This window comes from Homo sapiens, chromosome 5 (genome assembly GCF_000001405.40).
Source record: "Homo sapiens chromosome 5, GRCh38.p14 Primary Assembly".
In the NCBI taxonomy this organism is placed as follows: Eukaryota; Metazoa; Chordata; class Mammalia; order Primates; family Hominidae; genus Homo; species Homo sapiens.
In genome coordinates this window covers 141687060-141702947 of record NC_000005.10, presented here as the reverse complement: position 1 = coordinate 141702947, position 15888 = coordinate 141687060, and the positions used below count along the sequence as shown (strand labels likewise).

The 15888-nt window shown below is 51.0% G+C and overlaps 5 annotated features.

The window, feature by feature from the left end:
• Nucleotides 559-708: an enhancer, noted in NCBI's record as "active region_23312". NCBI's record gives its function as "activates an Ori minimal core promoter by ATAC-STARR-seq in GM12878 lymphoblastoid cells {active_cell/tissue: GM12878}" and the evidence as "EXISTENCE:reporter gene assay evidence [ECO:0000049][PMID:35858748]".
• Nucleotides 1297-1797: an enhancer, noted in NCBI's record as "H3K4me1 hESC enhancer chr5:141080718-141081218 (GRCh37/hg19 assembly coordinates)". NCBI's record gives its function as "activates a minimal SCP1, AML or CMV promoter by ChIP-STARR-seq in primed H9 embryonic stem cells {active_cell/tissue: H9 hESC(primed)}" and the evidence as "EXISTENCE:reporter gene assay evidence [ECO:0000049][PMID:30033119]".
• Nucleotides 9595-10128: an enhancer, noted in NCBI's record as "H3K4me1 hESC enhancer chr5:141072387-141072920 (GRCh37/hg19 assembly coordinates)". NCBI's record gives its function as "activates a minimal SCP1, AML or CMV promoter by ChIP-STARR-seq in naive H9 embryonic stem cells {active_cell/tissue: H9 hESC(naive)}" and the evidence as "EXISTENCE:reporter gene assay evidence [ECO:0000049][PMID:30033119]".
• Nucleotides 10129-10662: an enhancer, noted in NCBI's record as "H3K4me1 hESC enhancer chr5:141071853-141072386 (GRCh37/hg19 assembly coordinates)". NCBI's record gives its function as "activates a minimal SCP1, AML or CMV promoter by ChIP-STARR-seq in naive H9 embryonic stem cells {active_cell/tissue: H9 hESC(naive)}" and the evidence as "EXISTENCE:reporter gene assay evidence [ECO:0000049][PMID:30033119]".
• Nucleotides 10601-10650: a silencer, noted in NCBI's record as "silent region_16461". NCBI's record gives its function as "represses an Ori minimal core promoter by ATAC-STARR-seq in GM12878 lymphoblastoid cells {active_cell/tissue: GM12878}" and the evidence as "EXISTENCE:reporter gene assay evidence [ECO:0000049][PMID:35858748]".

Here is a 15888-nt window from a genome sequence, read left to right as displayed (position 1 = left end):
AGGCGAACAGCCGGCAATGCCCCGAAGCCCGCTCCCCACCCCCAGCCAGCCGGCCGTGACACGAGGGGTCCTTCCACGCAGGCCCTCCCACTCCTTTCCTCGGCAGGGTTTCCCCACGGGTCTGAAGCGCACAGAGAGTTCTCGCATCTGTTCGCAAACCCTGACTCGAGGCTCAGAGCTCAGCACTGGGGGTCATCTGCCCAGGGCAGCGGGCATTTCCCTAAAGCCCTGTGGTTGGGGGAACGGGGATACCGGGCGGTTGACCGGCGAAGCTGGCAGTCCTCTGCCCCTCAATCAGGACCAGCTTCCTGGAGGAGGGGACAGCGGCGAAGCCGGGAATGGGGGCAAGGAAGTGGCTTGACAGATGGGGAGTGGGAGGCTCTTTCCAGCATATGGGGCCGCGTGGGCGGAAGGAGTCTGGGCCTGGCGGTGGGGAAGGGTGGGCACGGGGCTGCGGAGACGGTCCCCGGAGCGGGGACGCGGGCGGAGTGAGGGTGGGCGTGTGAACGGGACGGAGAGGGGAGGAGATAAGCCCCCCAAAGGTGGGGGCGGGGAGTGGGGGCGGCCTTGGATGCGCTCACCCGGGAGCCTGCGGAAGGCGCAGCACGCCGAGCGCCTTGCACAAGGGCGCCCCCTGATGGCATCTCAAGCGGCAGACACGGTTTCCATTTTCTTTTGACATCAATGTAACAAAATCCTCAATTGAGCGCTTCCTAGAAGCCTGGCGCTGGGCTGAGATCTCCTTTGGAAGCCACTACCGTGCCCATTTTACAGCTAAGAGAACGGAACCTCAGCGAGGTCATACAGCAAGAGCCAGGATTCCAATCCATGCATTCATTTACTCAACAGTTCTTAAGAAGTCCCTCTTGTAGGCTGGGGGCTGGAGGTACTGCAGTACACAGATGAACAGGTCCCTGGCCTCGCGGGGCTTATAGTCTAGGTGAGGAAACAGCATACAAGTAAACAAATAAATGAGCAAAATAATTTCAGTGCTGCGGAGGAAATAAACCAGGGTGTGGAGCTAGGCAGCAACTGTGCTCTCTCGGTTTCCCCCAGCCTGCCTCCCCCTCGCTGCTCCCTGGGGGACTGAGATTTGTCAGCCTTGGCTTCAAGGCAGGCAGCAAAGGAAGGTAGCTCTGGGGGTGGAACGAAGTGGGGGAGTGCAGATTCCCAAGGCCAAAAGCCGCTGTCATCTGGGTCCCGGCCACCCCCTCACATGTACTCCGACTAGCACCTGCAGCCCTAGACGTTCCCACTATGGCCAAGCATCTGAATTATTTCCTCATCTCAACCCGATGAGTTTTTAATCTGTCTTTATACAGCAGCCTGGCTGCCTGTGCTGGGATTATTACTGAGTTCTCTGCACATCGATCCCGCCTCCCCTGGCCGCTCTGACCAAGTGAGGCTCTGAGATGGCGGCGGGAGGGGTCTTGGCTCTGGAAAGATTTAGGGGAGTGCCAGTGCTTGCTGTGGGCTGGGGCCTGCAGCACTCAGGTGTCAGATGCCCAGGATTTCAGGGGCACTGCCCTCAAGGCTGGGCTGAGCCAGGGTGGAGGGGTATGGGTATGAAGAGGCAAAGTTTACAATTTGAGCTCAGGAGATGGGGCTGTTTCAGCAATACCAGGCTATTGTTTATTGGGGCAGCTTTGCAACTCGAAGGAGAAAGATGAAAGGAGGGAGGAGAGGCTAAGATTACCTGGGACAAGGGCAGAAGGTAGGGAGAAATGGCTTCTAGTCCCAGTTTTGCCACTTACTAGCATGTAAGTGCCCTTGCAAGCTTGTAAGTGCCCTCAAATGACTCATCTGTAAAATGGGAGTGATTGCAGTGTGTGTTCCATGAGGTAGTATGCACACAGAGCCTTCATACACTAAACACTCAATATGTCAACTATTATTAGCAGCATCATTATCTGTAAAATGGGAGTAGGAATCCTGGTTCTGCTTCCTGGAGATATCTCTCATGAAACTCAAATGGACACAGGCACCAGGCCCATGTGAGGGGCTATTGTTATTGATCCGCAATAAGGTCAACAACACCAATAATGGCATGAACAGGCATGAGGCAGGCACACATATTCTGTCGCTCCCACATTCAATCAGTGACAGACACACTCAGTCTCAGCCTTTCAGACGTGCAGCCTAGATACACCCTCTCCTGCCTTCGGATCAGCCTGATAGTGGGGAATGTGGGACAGAGGCTGCCACATGCGACTTTTCATTTGCCATGGTGCCAATGAATATTTGAGAGTGGCCTTTCAAGCATGCAAATCCGACCATCACACATGGCCCTGGACAAGCTCCAAACACCCTAGCATGGCCTGGGGCTGTCTTTTGCTCCTGCCTTGTCTTTCATCTCCTGCCCATCTTTCATCTCTTGCCTCTTGCACTCTGAGCTCTCTATGCTCCTGCGACATACTTGGCCTCTCTTGCCTCTGCCCTTGTATGTGTAATTCCTTTTTCCTGGGACTCTTTTCCCTTCTAATAGCTACCTCTTTGAGGACAGGGACTCTGTCGATTGGTTGGTCGATAGTAAATGATCTATAAATATTTGTAGAATTGACACCACCCCAGCTGACGTCCAGTGGCCTCATCTCAAACCTCACTTCTTAGGAAAGGCTTTCCCTGCTGCTAGGGCTAGGTAGAGCCTCTTGTTTTTCCTTCTAAAGCCTCCTGTACTTCCCCTGTGAAATTCACATGTTTGTATCTATCTCCTAAACTCAATTTCACAAGGGCAGGGAAGCTCCTTCTTGTTTACCGCTCTATCTTCAGTGTTCAACGTATACTAGGTGCTCAAGAAAGGTTTTGAATGAGGAAATAAATGGATGGATGGCACTGGAACTCCATGTCTCCTGTTTTAGTCCCTCCCACTGACCCTCTACCCCCATCTTCAAAGGAATGACTTTCGATGTCCTAGGACCAGTTCTTTGCTCCCCCTCTCACTTCTCTCCATCTCCTTCCTTCTTAGCCATCCACTCACAGGCCACATCTGGGCCCTTTCATCCTTGGTTGTCCCTCCCTGGTGAAGAGTAGCCCCACCACTGCCCCTGAGCCGCACTCCTGAGGGCAGGCCCTGGGTCCACCTCCTTTCCACCCTCCAAAGAGCATAGTTCTGGGTCTCCAAAAACAAGGAGGCTGGGCACCCTTCTCCCCTCATCAGCCAGCTGGGTCTAGCAAATGCCAAGTCATTGCCTGCTGGTGACTGTCTCCAGCTCCTCCAGCTGGAGGAGCTGCCAGGAGCAAACCCAGAAGAGCCACCCTTGGCAGCAGCCCAAGCACTTCACACCTGAAGCCAAGGAGTTCCTGCCCCTCTTCCTGCAGACTCCCACCTCTGCAAAGATGGTTGGAGGTCCTAAAACTGGGGATCAGGCCAGGGTGGAACCCCAAGGCTGTCCCATCTCAGCACCACCTCCCCACCCCACCCGCTACTGCCAAGGTCCCCTGGATACATGCTGGCAACCCAGCCTCAGTTTCTCCACAGGGTCCTTTCTGCTAAAGCTGCCAAGGGAACATTTGCAGGACTGCTCCACAGCTTCAGTGCCCATGAATGCTGACTAATAATTAAGCCCCTACAAACTGCCTGTAGATAACCATAATTCCTTTTATTTATGCAGCCCTGAGCACATTTCAAAGCATTTTCATATATATTATCTCATATGATCTCCCACAATAATCCTATTGGGTAATTACTGGCGGAAGGAATTAATGTCCTTATTTCGAAGAGGACAAAACCAAGACTCAGAGAGGAAGGAATCTTCTCTGAGGTCACACAGCCTGTGGGGGGCAGAACTGGGCCGACCATGCAAGTTCCTGAAAGTCCAGGGTTCTTAATTGTCCACTTGCCCTGGATCTTGAAGCTGAAACCCAGAGTAGCCTACACAGTGTAAACCCTTCCAGCTCTTATGCCATTCCAGTCTCTTAACAACAACAGCAAATAATTGAGTATCCATATATGTACACAACTTGAATTATCTCACTTAACTCCCAACACAACCTTATGATATTGGCCATATTATTAGCCCCCACGTCACATATGAGATGGCCAAAGCTCAGAGAAGTTAAGTAACTTGCTTTGAGTCATACAGGCTATTCAGACTCTGGATACAATCTTAGTCTGCTTGAATAATCTGAGACTTTAACTCCTACCCATAGGTTCTGTGGCTTAACTGATGCCCCTACTCACACCAAGCCTCCAGAACCTCTTCCTTGGAGTCTAGGATCATGGGGATCTCTCTTTTCTGTGGCTGTCTGCATTCCCAGGTCACTCATTTATTCACCCATTGGTTTGTTAAACATTCATGAGGCCTTCCCTGTGGCTGGCACTAGGCATACCATGGTGGACAGTGGCACCATGTCCTGCTCTGGAGTAGATAGCCCAGGCTGGGGAAATCTGGGAAGGCTTCCTGGAAGGGTACCCAAGATGAATCTTGAAGGATGAATAGGAAGAAGGCGGAAGAGAAGGAAGAGGGAAGAATGTTCCAAGCAGGAGAAGCCAGAGGCAAGAGAGAGTGGGGACTGCTCAGGAACCCTGTAAATGAGGCAGTTTGGCTGGGACAGCAACAGGGAGGAGAGAGGTGAGGCTTGTATAGTGTTGGCGGGTGGGAGGATGTGGCAGGGAGTGACCTGGTCATGTCTGTGTAAGGATGCTGTGGAGACTGGGGGAAGGGGAGGGTACTGGGATGCTGTCTTTTCCAGAGCAGGATCCTTCTAGTCACCTCTGGTGTTAGACCCTTGGAGCCAGCCCGGCAGGCTGTGAGGATGTGGGGAGGGCAGCCTTCCAGAGCACCCTTGGCTGAGCTCGCAGGGGCCTCCAGAGTCCTGGGGCAGGGATTGTGGATGGGATGAGGTGTAACAGCCAAAGTTTCCTCCCTACAGTCACCAGTGAGGTACCCATGTCAGAACAGATAAAAGGAAGGGCTTTCTAGACAGTGGGAACAGCATCTGCAAAGGTGCTGAGGTGAAAGAGAGCAAGACCATCTGGGAGCTAGCATAGTTTATACAGCCGAAGCCAGGGTGTGGGCTAGATGGAGTTGTTCCGGTGCAGTAGGACTGAACTCAGGCCTTCATGGGTAAGAGTCTAGGGGTTCTGCTGCTGATACCCTTAGGTTCAAAGCCCAGCTCCTGCGAGCTACACATCTGTGGGAAAATTACTTAGGCTCTCTGATTCTCAGTTTTCACATCTGTAAAATAGGGTTGTTGTGAGGATTAAGCAAAACAATGTGCAAAGTACTTAGCACATAATAAATACTCAATGAGCACAATCTATGTTATTGTCACTATCACTAATGTTGTCATTACTAACAGCCTCACAGTGGGAAATCTAAGGTGGAGCACAACTTCATAAGGGAAGAATCTCATTTTAAAAAGTAAAAACAAGTTGCAACGTGTGCTTATCTGCAATCTCCACGTTCACCGATATGTGTGAAATTTCATCTGCAACTGTTTTCTCAGAGTGTCATCCCATCCCAAATCAAATGACGGATGTTGGATGTCGCAGGAATGATAGGGATATTACAGCGACCGACAGCGGGCTGGAGGCAGGGATCGTATGCAGGGGAGTGGAAGGGGCCTCTGTCAGTCTCTGGAGGGGTGAAAATGCCCATGTTTCTAAACCAGGATGGTGGGGACACTTTGGGGAGGGGAAACGGCTCTATCTGCCCCAGTTAAGATGAGAGAAAATCAGCTGGGTTTTGCTAGAGTGAATGCTCTGAGCAGAGTCTGGGATACAGCCCATGCCTCCACAAGTTTTACCATCTTCAAGGTTTGTTAATTGATCTCTTAGAATCTGAATGGTTTAAGCTTTGAAATTAAGATTTGCAGGTGTTAACCATGAGACGTAGTTCCAACATGGTCAGACAGGTGAACAAGGGTCAGAAAGGCTGTGCCCTGGGGTCCTACCAACCAGGTTCAAATGCCACCTCTATCTACATAGCATAGGCATTAGACAAGCTGTTTCTCTGGGTTTTGGTTTCCTTCCCTATACAACTGGACTGATCATTAGACCCAGCTCAAGAGTTGTCTTAAGATTCAGTGAAATAATGCACAGAGAGCACTTGACACAGTGCCCGGCACGTGATCAGGGCTCAAAAACTAGTAGTTGTCAGCACTGATACGACGTTCTCCTCCTTCTGGAAAGTTTGACCTATCACACAGCCCCAGGTGGGCTGCTCATGGGCTGGGCTGAGAGGCAGAGGTGTTCTGCCTGGGGATGACAGATGTCCCAACCAGACTACTTTCCCCTTAGGCAATGACAGGTGGGTGTCCGGTCACGGAAGTATCACTGTGCCTGGGATGGTACATTGACTCCTTCCTATAACTGGGGAACAAGTTAGGCCTTGGCCTCAGCTGTGAGAACAAGGAAGGAGGCCAACTTAGCTAACAGACTGGCTGGACAAGAACTTGAACCCAGGTGCTCTACATTGCCCTGGAGCCACACAGTGAGGTGCAGAGCCTGGGGCAGGGTGAGGTCTGCATGGGAGGTGCTGGTGATATGGTCTTGGTGAAGGCAGGGAGAAAGCCCTTTGAAATTCAGGAATACGAAATTTTAAAAACTGCACACAACAAAGAAATTGTTTTTTGCAGCTGTTTTGGCATTTGGGGAGTAATTTACCAACTTCAAGTTCGACTTAATGAAGTTGGGGGTAGGCAGCTTCCATGGGAGCTCTGCTTCCTAGCAATCTTCAGCCGCCCAGCCAGCAAAGAGGGCTGAGCGCATGGTTGCTGGGGAGCATTAACAGTAACACGTTGTGTATTTGTCATCAGAATGGAGCCCCCGGGCACAAGGGTAGTGCCCATGGCTGCTCAATGCTGTATTTGTCATGTGGCCACTGACACAATCAATTGACCCCCTTACACACCGGTGTTTTTTAGCCATTGTATAAATATTTCACCCCTCCCCAGCTGACACATAATCTCTTCTTTGCTGCCTCTGACAAATGAACATTTCTCTGTAGACTCTTAAATGAGTATGTGTCACAGCTATGTCACTGATTAATTTTTTTTACCACTATGAACAACGATGCATAGAAATGCAACTTATATTCATTTCCCGGCTTGAGCCCAGCTGTCTAAAAAATTCCACCAGCAGTTACGACTGACAGACAGCTATCCCAGCGCTTGGGCGTGCTGACATGTGGTTGTGTGAGTGCCAGCTTGTTAATTACCGGCTCTCTCTTCCGGCCTGGCTGCCGAGTAACCAGCCACAAGGACCTTAATCACTGCTGGGGCCTGGAAGGGCCTGCTTCAGAAGGCTCCAGGGGCCAAATCTCAATCAGGCCTAACCACACACAGTTTTTTCCTTCAAGCATTGGCCACCTTTTCTCCTGGGCCCTGGTTTGGGAATGTGCCTGTAGTCACCTCAGTAACACTCACTGCACCCTTAAACCCTTCACCCACCAATCTGTGAGGACAGGGACTCAGTCTTGTTTGCTTGGCACAGGGTGAATGCTCTAGAAATATTCACTGAAATGAAATCAGCTAAGGGGCAATTATTGAACAATATATCAGCCACTTGACATATATTACTCCTTTCATAGTAGGAGCCCCTACTATGCACTGGATGCTTAGCCAATGAGCAAGACAGGTAGACCTTTAGACCTGGGCCCAGAGGAAAAGGTGGCCATCAGTTGGAGAAAAAAATTGAGTGTGTGGTTAGACTTGGGTGGGAGCCGGACCCTGGAGCCGTCTGAGGCAGGTCCTTCCTGGCCCTGTCCGTGATTTAGGTCCTATGGGTGGTTAGTTGGCAGCCAGGCTGCAATGAAGTTTAGGTTCTGGTGGTGAAGGACTAGAGGTTCTAGGGATAGAACTTCTATTTGTAGAGGTGCTATTTGTACCCTGTTTGCAGCTGAGGAAACTGGAGGACAGTTCTCGCCTTTGGCCACATAGCTCATCAGCGGTGGCATTGAAATAAGAGCCTGTGCCTTCTGACTCCAAAGCCTGCACCACTAACCACTCTTGGCCAACCACACTGAGACCCCACTGTCCTTTCCCTCAGCTGCCTCAGTTTCTCCTACACTATAGCTCTCCTTCCCTCCTTCTCCTTCACACTTTCTTCTTCCTGGCAGGCTCTCGAGTCACCTTGGGCTTCAGAGCCGATTCAGCATCCCTGCCCCAGACCGACCCCATCCATCTGCTGCTCCCCCCATCCCCATGCCCCCCACTGACACAGAACCGAGCCTTCAGCAGGTGTCTAGGCTGCCCCTAGCCCGCCCCCAACCTCCATGCACCTGTGTCCTTTCCCTGATGTCATATAACCACTGGCTAGGAGCCAAGAGCATAACACCTGGGGACACTTTTGGTGATTAACTAGCTCCACCATTGCCCACAAGGCTCTCAAGAGACTGAGCGGAGAAATACAGACCCCTCCCCCTCTAAGGCCCAAGCAGACTTGGGCAGCTCTGGAGGCAGGGGCTGCACATCCAAGGAACTGATCCTCCCCATTGCCACATCCATGGAGCCCACAGGAATCAAAACTGTGGATGTATATGGCAAGGTAGAGAGTGTGGAATGGGAGATGGTCTGAATCCCAGTTTCTCTATTTACCGACTATACATCCTAGGGCAAGTTACTTCATTTCTTCTGGGGTTGTACCTTGAAGATGCTAATACCTATTTCACAGAGCTGTTGGGAGGTTGACGAGAGCTCACGTGGGACAGCACCCACCATGGTGCCTACCATATAACAGGTGCACAGTAAACCACAGCATCTTTCTTTCCCTTTTGGCAAGGTTGTGATTCCGACCTATCTTGATTAATCATCTAATCAGAGAAGAAAAGCTGGACAACACACCTACCTATTGATACCTTAGCCCATACTGACCCAGGAGACCCCAGGCACCAAAAGCACTGCCTCTCTTCTTCCCTCCAGGCCTGAGTGGTGTGGAAGGAGAGGCAACTCCTAGGAAGGACGTGAAACTGCTGTGGGTGGGGCTGCCCTTCAATCAGCATCATCCAAAATCATGGCCACTTACAAACATTCAGTCCATGCAGCACTGAACAGAGCACATGTTTATGTGCATTATCTCATTGAAAAGTCACAAAACTCTTTGAGTTAGGTATGACTGGTTTCATTCTACTGACAAAGAAATTGAGGCCTAAAGAGGTTAAGAGAACTGCAAAAAGTCACACAGAGGCAGAGCCAGGACTTCAACCCGGGGTTCACCTTATTCTCAAGATAGTGCTCTTAACTACCGTTGTATGCCACATCCCTCACACCCTCTTCCTCACTATGTCCATCAAGCTCCCAGGGCATTCTGCAGCGAGCGGCTGCAGCAGGCATCACCTTCTCTATGACGTCATTGAGAGCCTGCTCTATCACCTCAGTGGGCCTGCCCCGTCCCACCTACTAGGCCTCAGTGGAGCTAGGGGCAGGGTCAGAGGAAGAAAAAGCTCAGATGACACAGAGCTAGGCTGGGACTGGCACAATAGCAACCCTGGGGAAGGGGCTGATGCAAGAAAGGGGTCCACACAACTGGCCCTTCAGCTGGCTGGTTAGCTGTGCCATCCGCATACATTTCCTTGTTCGAAATGGAGCACTGAGCCCCGGAAATCAGGACAAAAGCACCACCCACAGCTCTGGTCTCGATGACTCAGATTCCACCTCCCACAGCCTCCTCCTGTGTGTGTTTCTGAATGCGTGTGTACCCGCGCGTGCGCCCCTCCAGCGCGTGAGGCTGTCAGCTGTGTGTGTGTGTGTGTGTGCGCGCGCATGTACAGAGATGAGCACACATGTGCACATGGCTGAGCTGGGTCCACCTGCATATCTCTGTCTCCAAGCCCGAGTTCTCAGAATACGATGACCCACAGGGTCAGTGATCATCATAACATTGATAGCCACATGCTTCCCATGCTCGGGCTGTGTGCCAAGCACTTTACACGCAGTGCAGCATAGAGTCTTTACCGCAGCCTTATTAGGTGCCTACTATCATTCCCCTTCTGCTAACGATGAAACTGAGACTCAGAGAAGTTAACCTGCTTTCCCAAGGTCACACAGCTAGAAAATGGTGAAATTATCAGATGTCAAAGTCGGTGCCCAATAAGATGTGCTTCTCGCCTTGCCCCCTTTAGGGGGTTTGGAGAGAAGTCCCAAGGGTCCTTTGTAACCAGAAGCCAACCAGGGTCGCTGAAGGAAAGGGGGCCAGAGCCTTGGAGGAAGGAAAGGGGGGCGAATAGCAGATAGACACCGAGGAGGAGGGGGCAGGGCAGCTGTCTCCCAAAACAGGTGTCAGAGAAGCTGTGACAGCCACTTAGAACCACAGTGGCAAGCCTCCTTTACATGGCGATTTGCATACATTTGCATGCATTTGCATCACCAAATCTGTGGAATGGGCCTTAATGGTCCCTGCCTCAGAAGACTGGCAGAAGTTGAGAGAGTGGGAGTGACAGGGAGGGCCTGGGGAATTCAGGAAGGGAACGAAGGGAGAGGCAGTGCTGCGGAGGCCCTGGGAAGCGCTGGGCACCGCTAAGAGACAGTTCCAGGGGAAAGAAGGAAGAATCCCTCCCAAGTAGCCTGGGAAGTCTCTCCTCCCCGAGACCATCTCCTGGGGGTAGCAGCGAAGGGGATCGGTGATGCAGAAATCAGGGAGAGCGTCGGAGGGTTGGAGACCTGTGTCCACGGACAGAGGGGCGGGTCTCGCACAGCGCCTCCCTGCTGGGGGCCTGTCCATTCGGCCGCTGGAGCTCAGTGGCTCGGTGTTGGGGCGCCATCTAGTGGACATATGTGGGAACGCGCCCTTTCCTGCCCGCTCTGGCGGCAGCCTCTTCCTGCGGCTGCTTGCACCAAAGTCACGCCAGCTTGCAGACTCCCAACAGTCGGCTGTCTGAGTGGGCATAGGGACCTGCGGTCTTCCGGAGGATCACGGGCAGGGGAACTTCCCACGGGGCGGCCAGGCTAACGTGAATGAGCTAAGACAGCTTAGTGGTGAAGAGCTTGGGTCAAATATGGCTGTATGACCTTGGCAAATTAACCTCTGAATCAGTTTCCTCATCTGTAAAATGGGAGTGATAAAATTTACTTGTGAGAATAAAAGAAGATAATATCTATTAGGAGCTTCTCAGCAGGACCAGGACTTTAAGGACTTTCGACTTGCACGACCTTGAGATCTCCTTACAATTTGTCGGCTAAGCTTTTACCCTCTTCGTCCTCTTCCTGGTCCTGCTTATTAGCACAATGCCTGCCACATGAGGAGCACTTCATCAGCAGCAGCTACTGTGGTCGTTGCTGTCATTATTATTACTGTGAGGGTGCTGAGGCCTTGCGCAGGCAGCACCCCAGCCTCACTCCCATCTGGCCTGGTCTGGCAAAGATATGAAAGGAGATCAGAGGCTGGAGGTGAGGGGCCACTTCCCAATGAGTCAGGAATAAAGAGGAAGTCATAGGCAGATAGGAGTGAAAGGGCCATATTGGGTCACAAACTTTGTAGAACCTTCTCAAATTCCCTGTGGTCAAATGCTAGATGAGGAAGGGACTCAGCCCTGGTTCACAGATGGTCAGTGTGATATGTTGGTGAGAGTTAGAAATGGATTGCTGCCACATTATGGCCGTCTTGGCGTAGCCCTAAAGGACAGTGGGGAAGGGAGGTTCCAGGGTGCAAAGCTTTGAGCAGTACACTTGGGCGTTAGCTTTCTCTAAACGAACAAATAGCCTGAGTTGTGGATATTCCCTGGCTCCTGTGGAATAGTGAATGTCCCCTAGTCAGGAACCCGAAGGAACAAAAGCCAAAGGCAAGTGACAAAGTGGTCTAGGAAAGAGGTAGATGGGTGGACTGAGAGTGAGCACCAAGTGTGCAAATTCCCTGGCTCCTGTGGAATAGTGAATGTCCCCTAGTCAGGAGCCCAAAGGAACAAAAGCCAAAGGCAAGTGACAAAGTGGTCTAGGAAAGAGGTAGATGGGTGGACTGAGAGTGAGCACCAAGTGTGCAAACCTCTGGGTCTCAGGTAAACAACCAGCAGAGCATCTTTTGCCAGGACACGCTCCACAGAGATACAATGATTCGCCTGGTGAGTGAATCTCTCTCCCTGTCTACCCTGAATGCCTGCTCAAAAGCCCTTGAACAGAGTAGTCATGCTACCAGAGATGGAGGCTATGTATGAGCCCAACAGCATGGGCTCCCTCTCACCAAGGATGAGCTAGTTCTACCACTTTGATCACTCAACCTGCCTGCAGCCAAGACCAGTGCTGGGCCCTCCCTCAGAAGGCTCTCTTCCTCAGAAGACCAGCCAAGCCTCTGGCTGCAGATCAGTTACACTGACCCTATTCTTTCTACTCTGGAGGGGACAGTAATTCGTTCTTACTGGCAACAGTGCATGCTCCAGATTCAGGCTTGTCTTCCACAGTGTTTTTACCAAAAAAGTACAATAATGTGGTCATCAAGGACTTCTATAGTTTCTGCTCTTACATTTAGGTCTTTGATCCATTTTTGAGTTCATCTTTGTATATGGTGTATGGGATGCCGATCAACAGAGTCATTGGGCTCGCTTGGTTGCTCCTCATCACCTAGAAGCTGCCAGCCTGATGGGACAAGGGGACAGCCTGTTGAATGCTCAGTGAAGACACTGGCAGGAACATGACACCTGTGGGTTGGGGCCCTCAACTCCTTGATGCGGTATTTGTTTTGACCAGTACTATGTTCCTTATACATAGAAATTGCCAGTCCTGGAGTCAAATGTGGAAGTGGACGTGGCCCATCTCATTCACATTTGTAGAATATTTGCTTTCTGTCCCCAAAACTGGTGGCTCTGCCAATTCGAGTTTCTAGTTGCCAGGAAGGGAGAACTTATATGAAAGAACACAGTAGTTTCCACTAAACTGGAAGCTGTGACAGCCACGTGGCCACCTTATGCTCCTCATTCTAGTGGGCTAATAGACAAAGAAGGGCATTAATGTGCTGGCCAGGGCCATTGATCCTGATGGCCATGAGGAACCAGGGCTGTAGATACAATGTGCATAGATGCAATGAAGGCGGGGAGTCTGGCCCCAGCCAGGGGATTCGCTGTGGCATCTCTTGGAACTTCCCACCCGGTAGTAATTGCCAATGGACAACTTCAACAACAATTCTAAAAGGACAGGGCAACAAAGGCATCAGATCTCTTGGGGATGAACGTCTGTATAATCTCATCAGGCAAGTAGCCCAGATCTGCAGAGGGCTAGCGGAGGGTCACGGAAGGAGGGAGAGAATATCAATTATGGACTCAAGACACGCTACAGCAGTGGGACTGTAGCTTGCTTCATTAGCCCTCTCCTCTTTATCTTCCTTAAGACCACATCTGGCATTTTCTGGAAGGGGACTTGATTCCAGTGGACTGTACTTTCCCTCATGAGGAAAGAGTGAGGGCAACTTTGTCCCTGTGGGGGAAAATGCCCTGTAGGGTGGCATAGAAGTCAGGTATAATGGGAGGACTTGAGTGGATCTCAGTGGCATGAGAAATGGGCTGCCCTGAGACATGAACCTTTCTTCTCAAATTCCTTCACTACCTCCTCCTCTACTTTCAGACTTAGATAAAATGCCACACTGTACAGTGTGGAACCTGGTTTCCAAGTGCCACCAAGGGCTGGGTAACAGAACCCAGAAGCATGGGAAGGTGACTCTGTGGGGTGAACCTTGACCCATGGGAGACAGGTCATGGGTGGGAGCTGAGGACTGCTCCAAGGTGGATTTCCTCCTTACCTTCTGGAGAAGTCCCACCCACGTGCCGAGAGAGAGCACCCCTGCTGAGTAGCCAGCAGTGTCTCTGAGGGGCTTGTGTGAAGCAGGGCAGGACAGGAAGGCACCGCACTGTCTCACCTTGCATCCTCCATTTCCTCTCCCTCAGCTCAGGGCTTCCACCTGAATCCTGACCACAGGCTCTGCTTCTCAAAGACCTAAGACAAAGGGATTCCTGAAAGCTGTTTCCCCGTCTGTGTCCCACACTGTGGTCACCACTGGAGCCTGAGTTTAACCAGTCCAGCATCTCTGCTGAAGCCAAAGAAATGGAGACCCCGGGGGACAGGAACCAAGCAACTACTTTCCAGATGGGAGAGAAAGTATAGATGGACATCTGAGCAATGAGGGAGGGGCAGGCATGGTCAAGAAATCGAGTGGGGAGATCAGAGGGTAGGAAGTTAAGTCCCAGTGAAAACTGCCCCCTGTAAATGGGTCTGTGCAGTGAGTTTTCTGGGAGAGAGTGATTAGATCCTAGAAGTGAGAAGGGAGAAAAATATTATCTTTCTCCCAAGGAGTAGACAACTGCATCCATGCAAGGCAGGGAGTGCATTCTCCTGACACCTTCAGGGCTCCATATTCCTGGGTGGGGGCAGTGTCTGACCCACAGATGCTCTGGACAGTGAAAACATCAAGAGTGAGTAAACGGTTGGCTGGGCACGGTGGCTCACACCTGTAATCCCAGCACTTTGGCGGAGGTCACGAGTTCGAGGCCAGCCTGGCCAACATGGTGAAACCCCGTCCTTACTAAAAACACAAAATTAGCAAAACATGGTGGCACATGCCTATAATCCCAACTACTTGGGAGGCTGAGGCAGGAAAATCACTTGAACCTGGGAAGCGGAGGTTGCAATGAACTCAGATAGTGCCACTGCACTCCGGCCTGGACGACAGAGTGAGACTGTCTCAAAAAGTAAATAAATAAAAAATAAATAAATAAATAACCCAGTATCCGGTATTTTGTTACAGCAATGCAAATGGACTAAGATAGCCCCCCCCCCCACCCCCTCTGGTCACTCCCAAAGCCCCAGTTCATAAATACTGCATGCCCAGGGCACAACCCCATATCTGGAGTACAGCCTCACACTCCGATGGAGTTTTGTGTCCAAAAAAGGACTGGCCCAGCAGCAATTTGGTGGTTTGCAGGGAGGTAGGGCAGAGACTGAGCATGTCCAAATATCCCTAATACTCTCCTTGCACCTACCCCTGCTTTCACTCTTCTGTCTTTCTTTAGATGTGTGCAGTGGTGCACCAGAAGCTTTAAACAAAGGTCTGCTAATTCCTGGAGTCATCCTTGTCATTCTCCTGCCTCTAGGCAAAGCCCTATTTCAGCATTTTCAAGGCAGCAGGAAGGGAAGAGGAGATGAGGGACCTGAGCCCCAGCAGTCTACAGTCTGCTTTGCCTGGGATGCATAAATAGGATTGGAAGGGCCCTCGTCTTTGAGAGTTGGGTGCAGGGTGTTTTTCTAGGGAGAGATCCATAACTGTCACCAGAGTCTCAAAAAAGTTTAAGATTTGCCTGTGCTGTCCAATATTGGCAGCCAGTGGTTGTTTAAATTTAAATTAATTACAATTAAATTAAATTAAATATTCAGCTCTTCTGGCTCACCAACCTCATTTCAACCTCTCAATGGCCACATGTGGCTACCGGCTGCCATACTGGACAGCACAAATAGAGAACACGGTCCATCATTGCAGGAAATTCTATCAAACAGCACTGCCATTAATTTTATGTATAGAGAAACTGAGACCCAAAGAGAGATGACTTGCCCCAAGCCCTAAGGGGAGTTAGTACTAGCTGTAGTACTAGATACCCTTTATAAAACATTTTGCAGTAAAATTGCATTAAAAATCTTGTAAATACAGCTCATGTCAATAGCCTAGGGTGGAAGGAGACAGGGCCCAGTCATGGGAATGAGGATGCAGGGGAAGGGAGGTGTTCTGTGTTTGTTCCTTCCCTCCCCCTGACCCCAGGGCTGCCCCAGTTCTCCAGGATAAAGAAGGCGTAGAGGCCTGGAACTCCCTCCTCTCCTCAATGATGACTTCATCCTCACAAAAATGTGAGGAGGGAAGTGGGAAGGGGCTCCCTGGAGGGTAGCTCTGGAGTCTAGGGGGAAATGGCACAGCCCTCAGGCCAGAGGAATTAGGGGTAGGGAGGGCTGTGCTGACCCTAACCAGTCTCCATGCAGCCATCT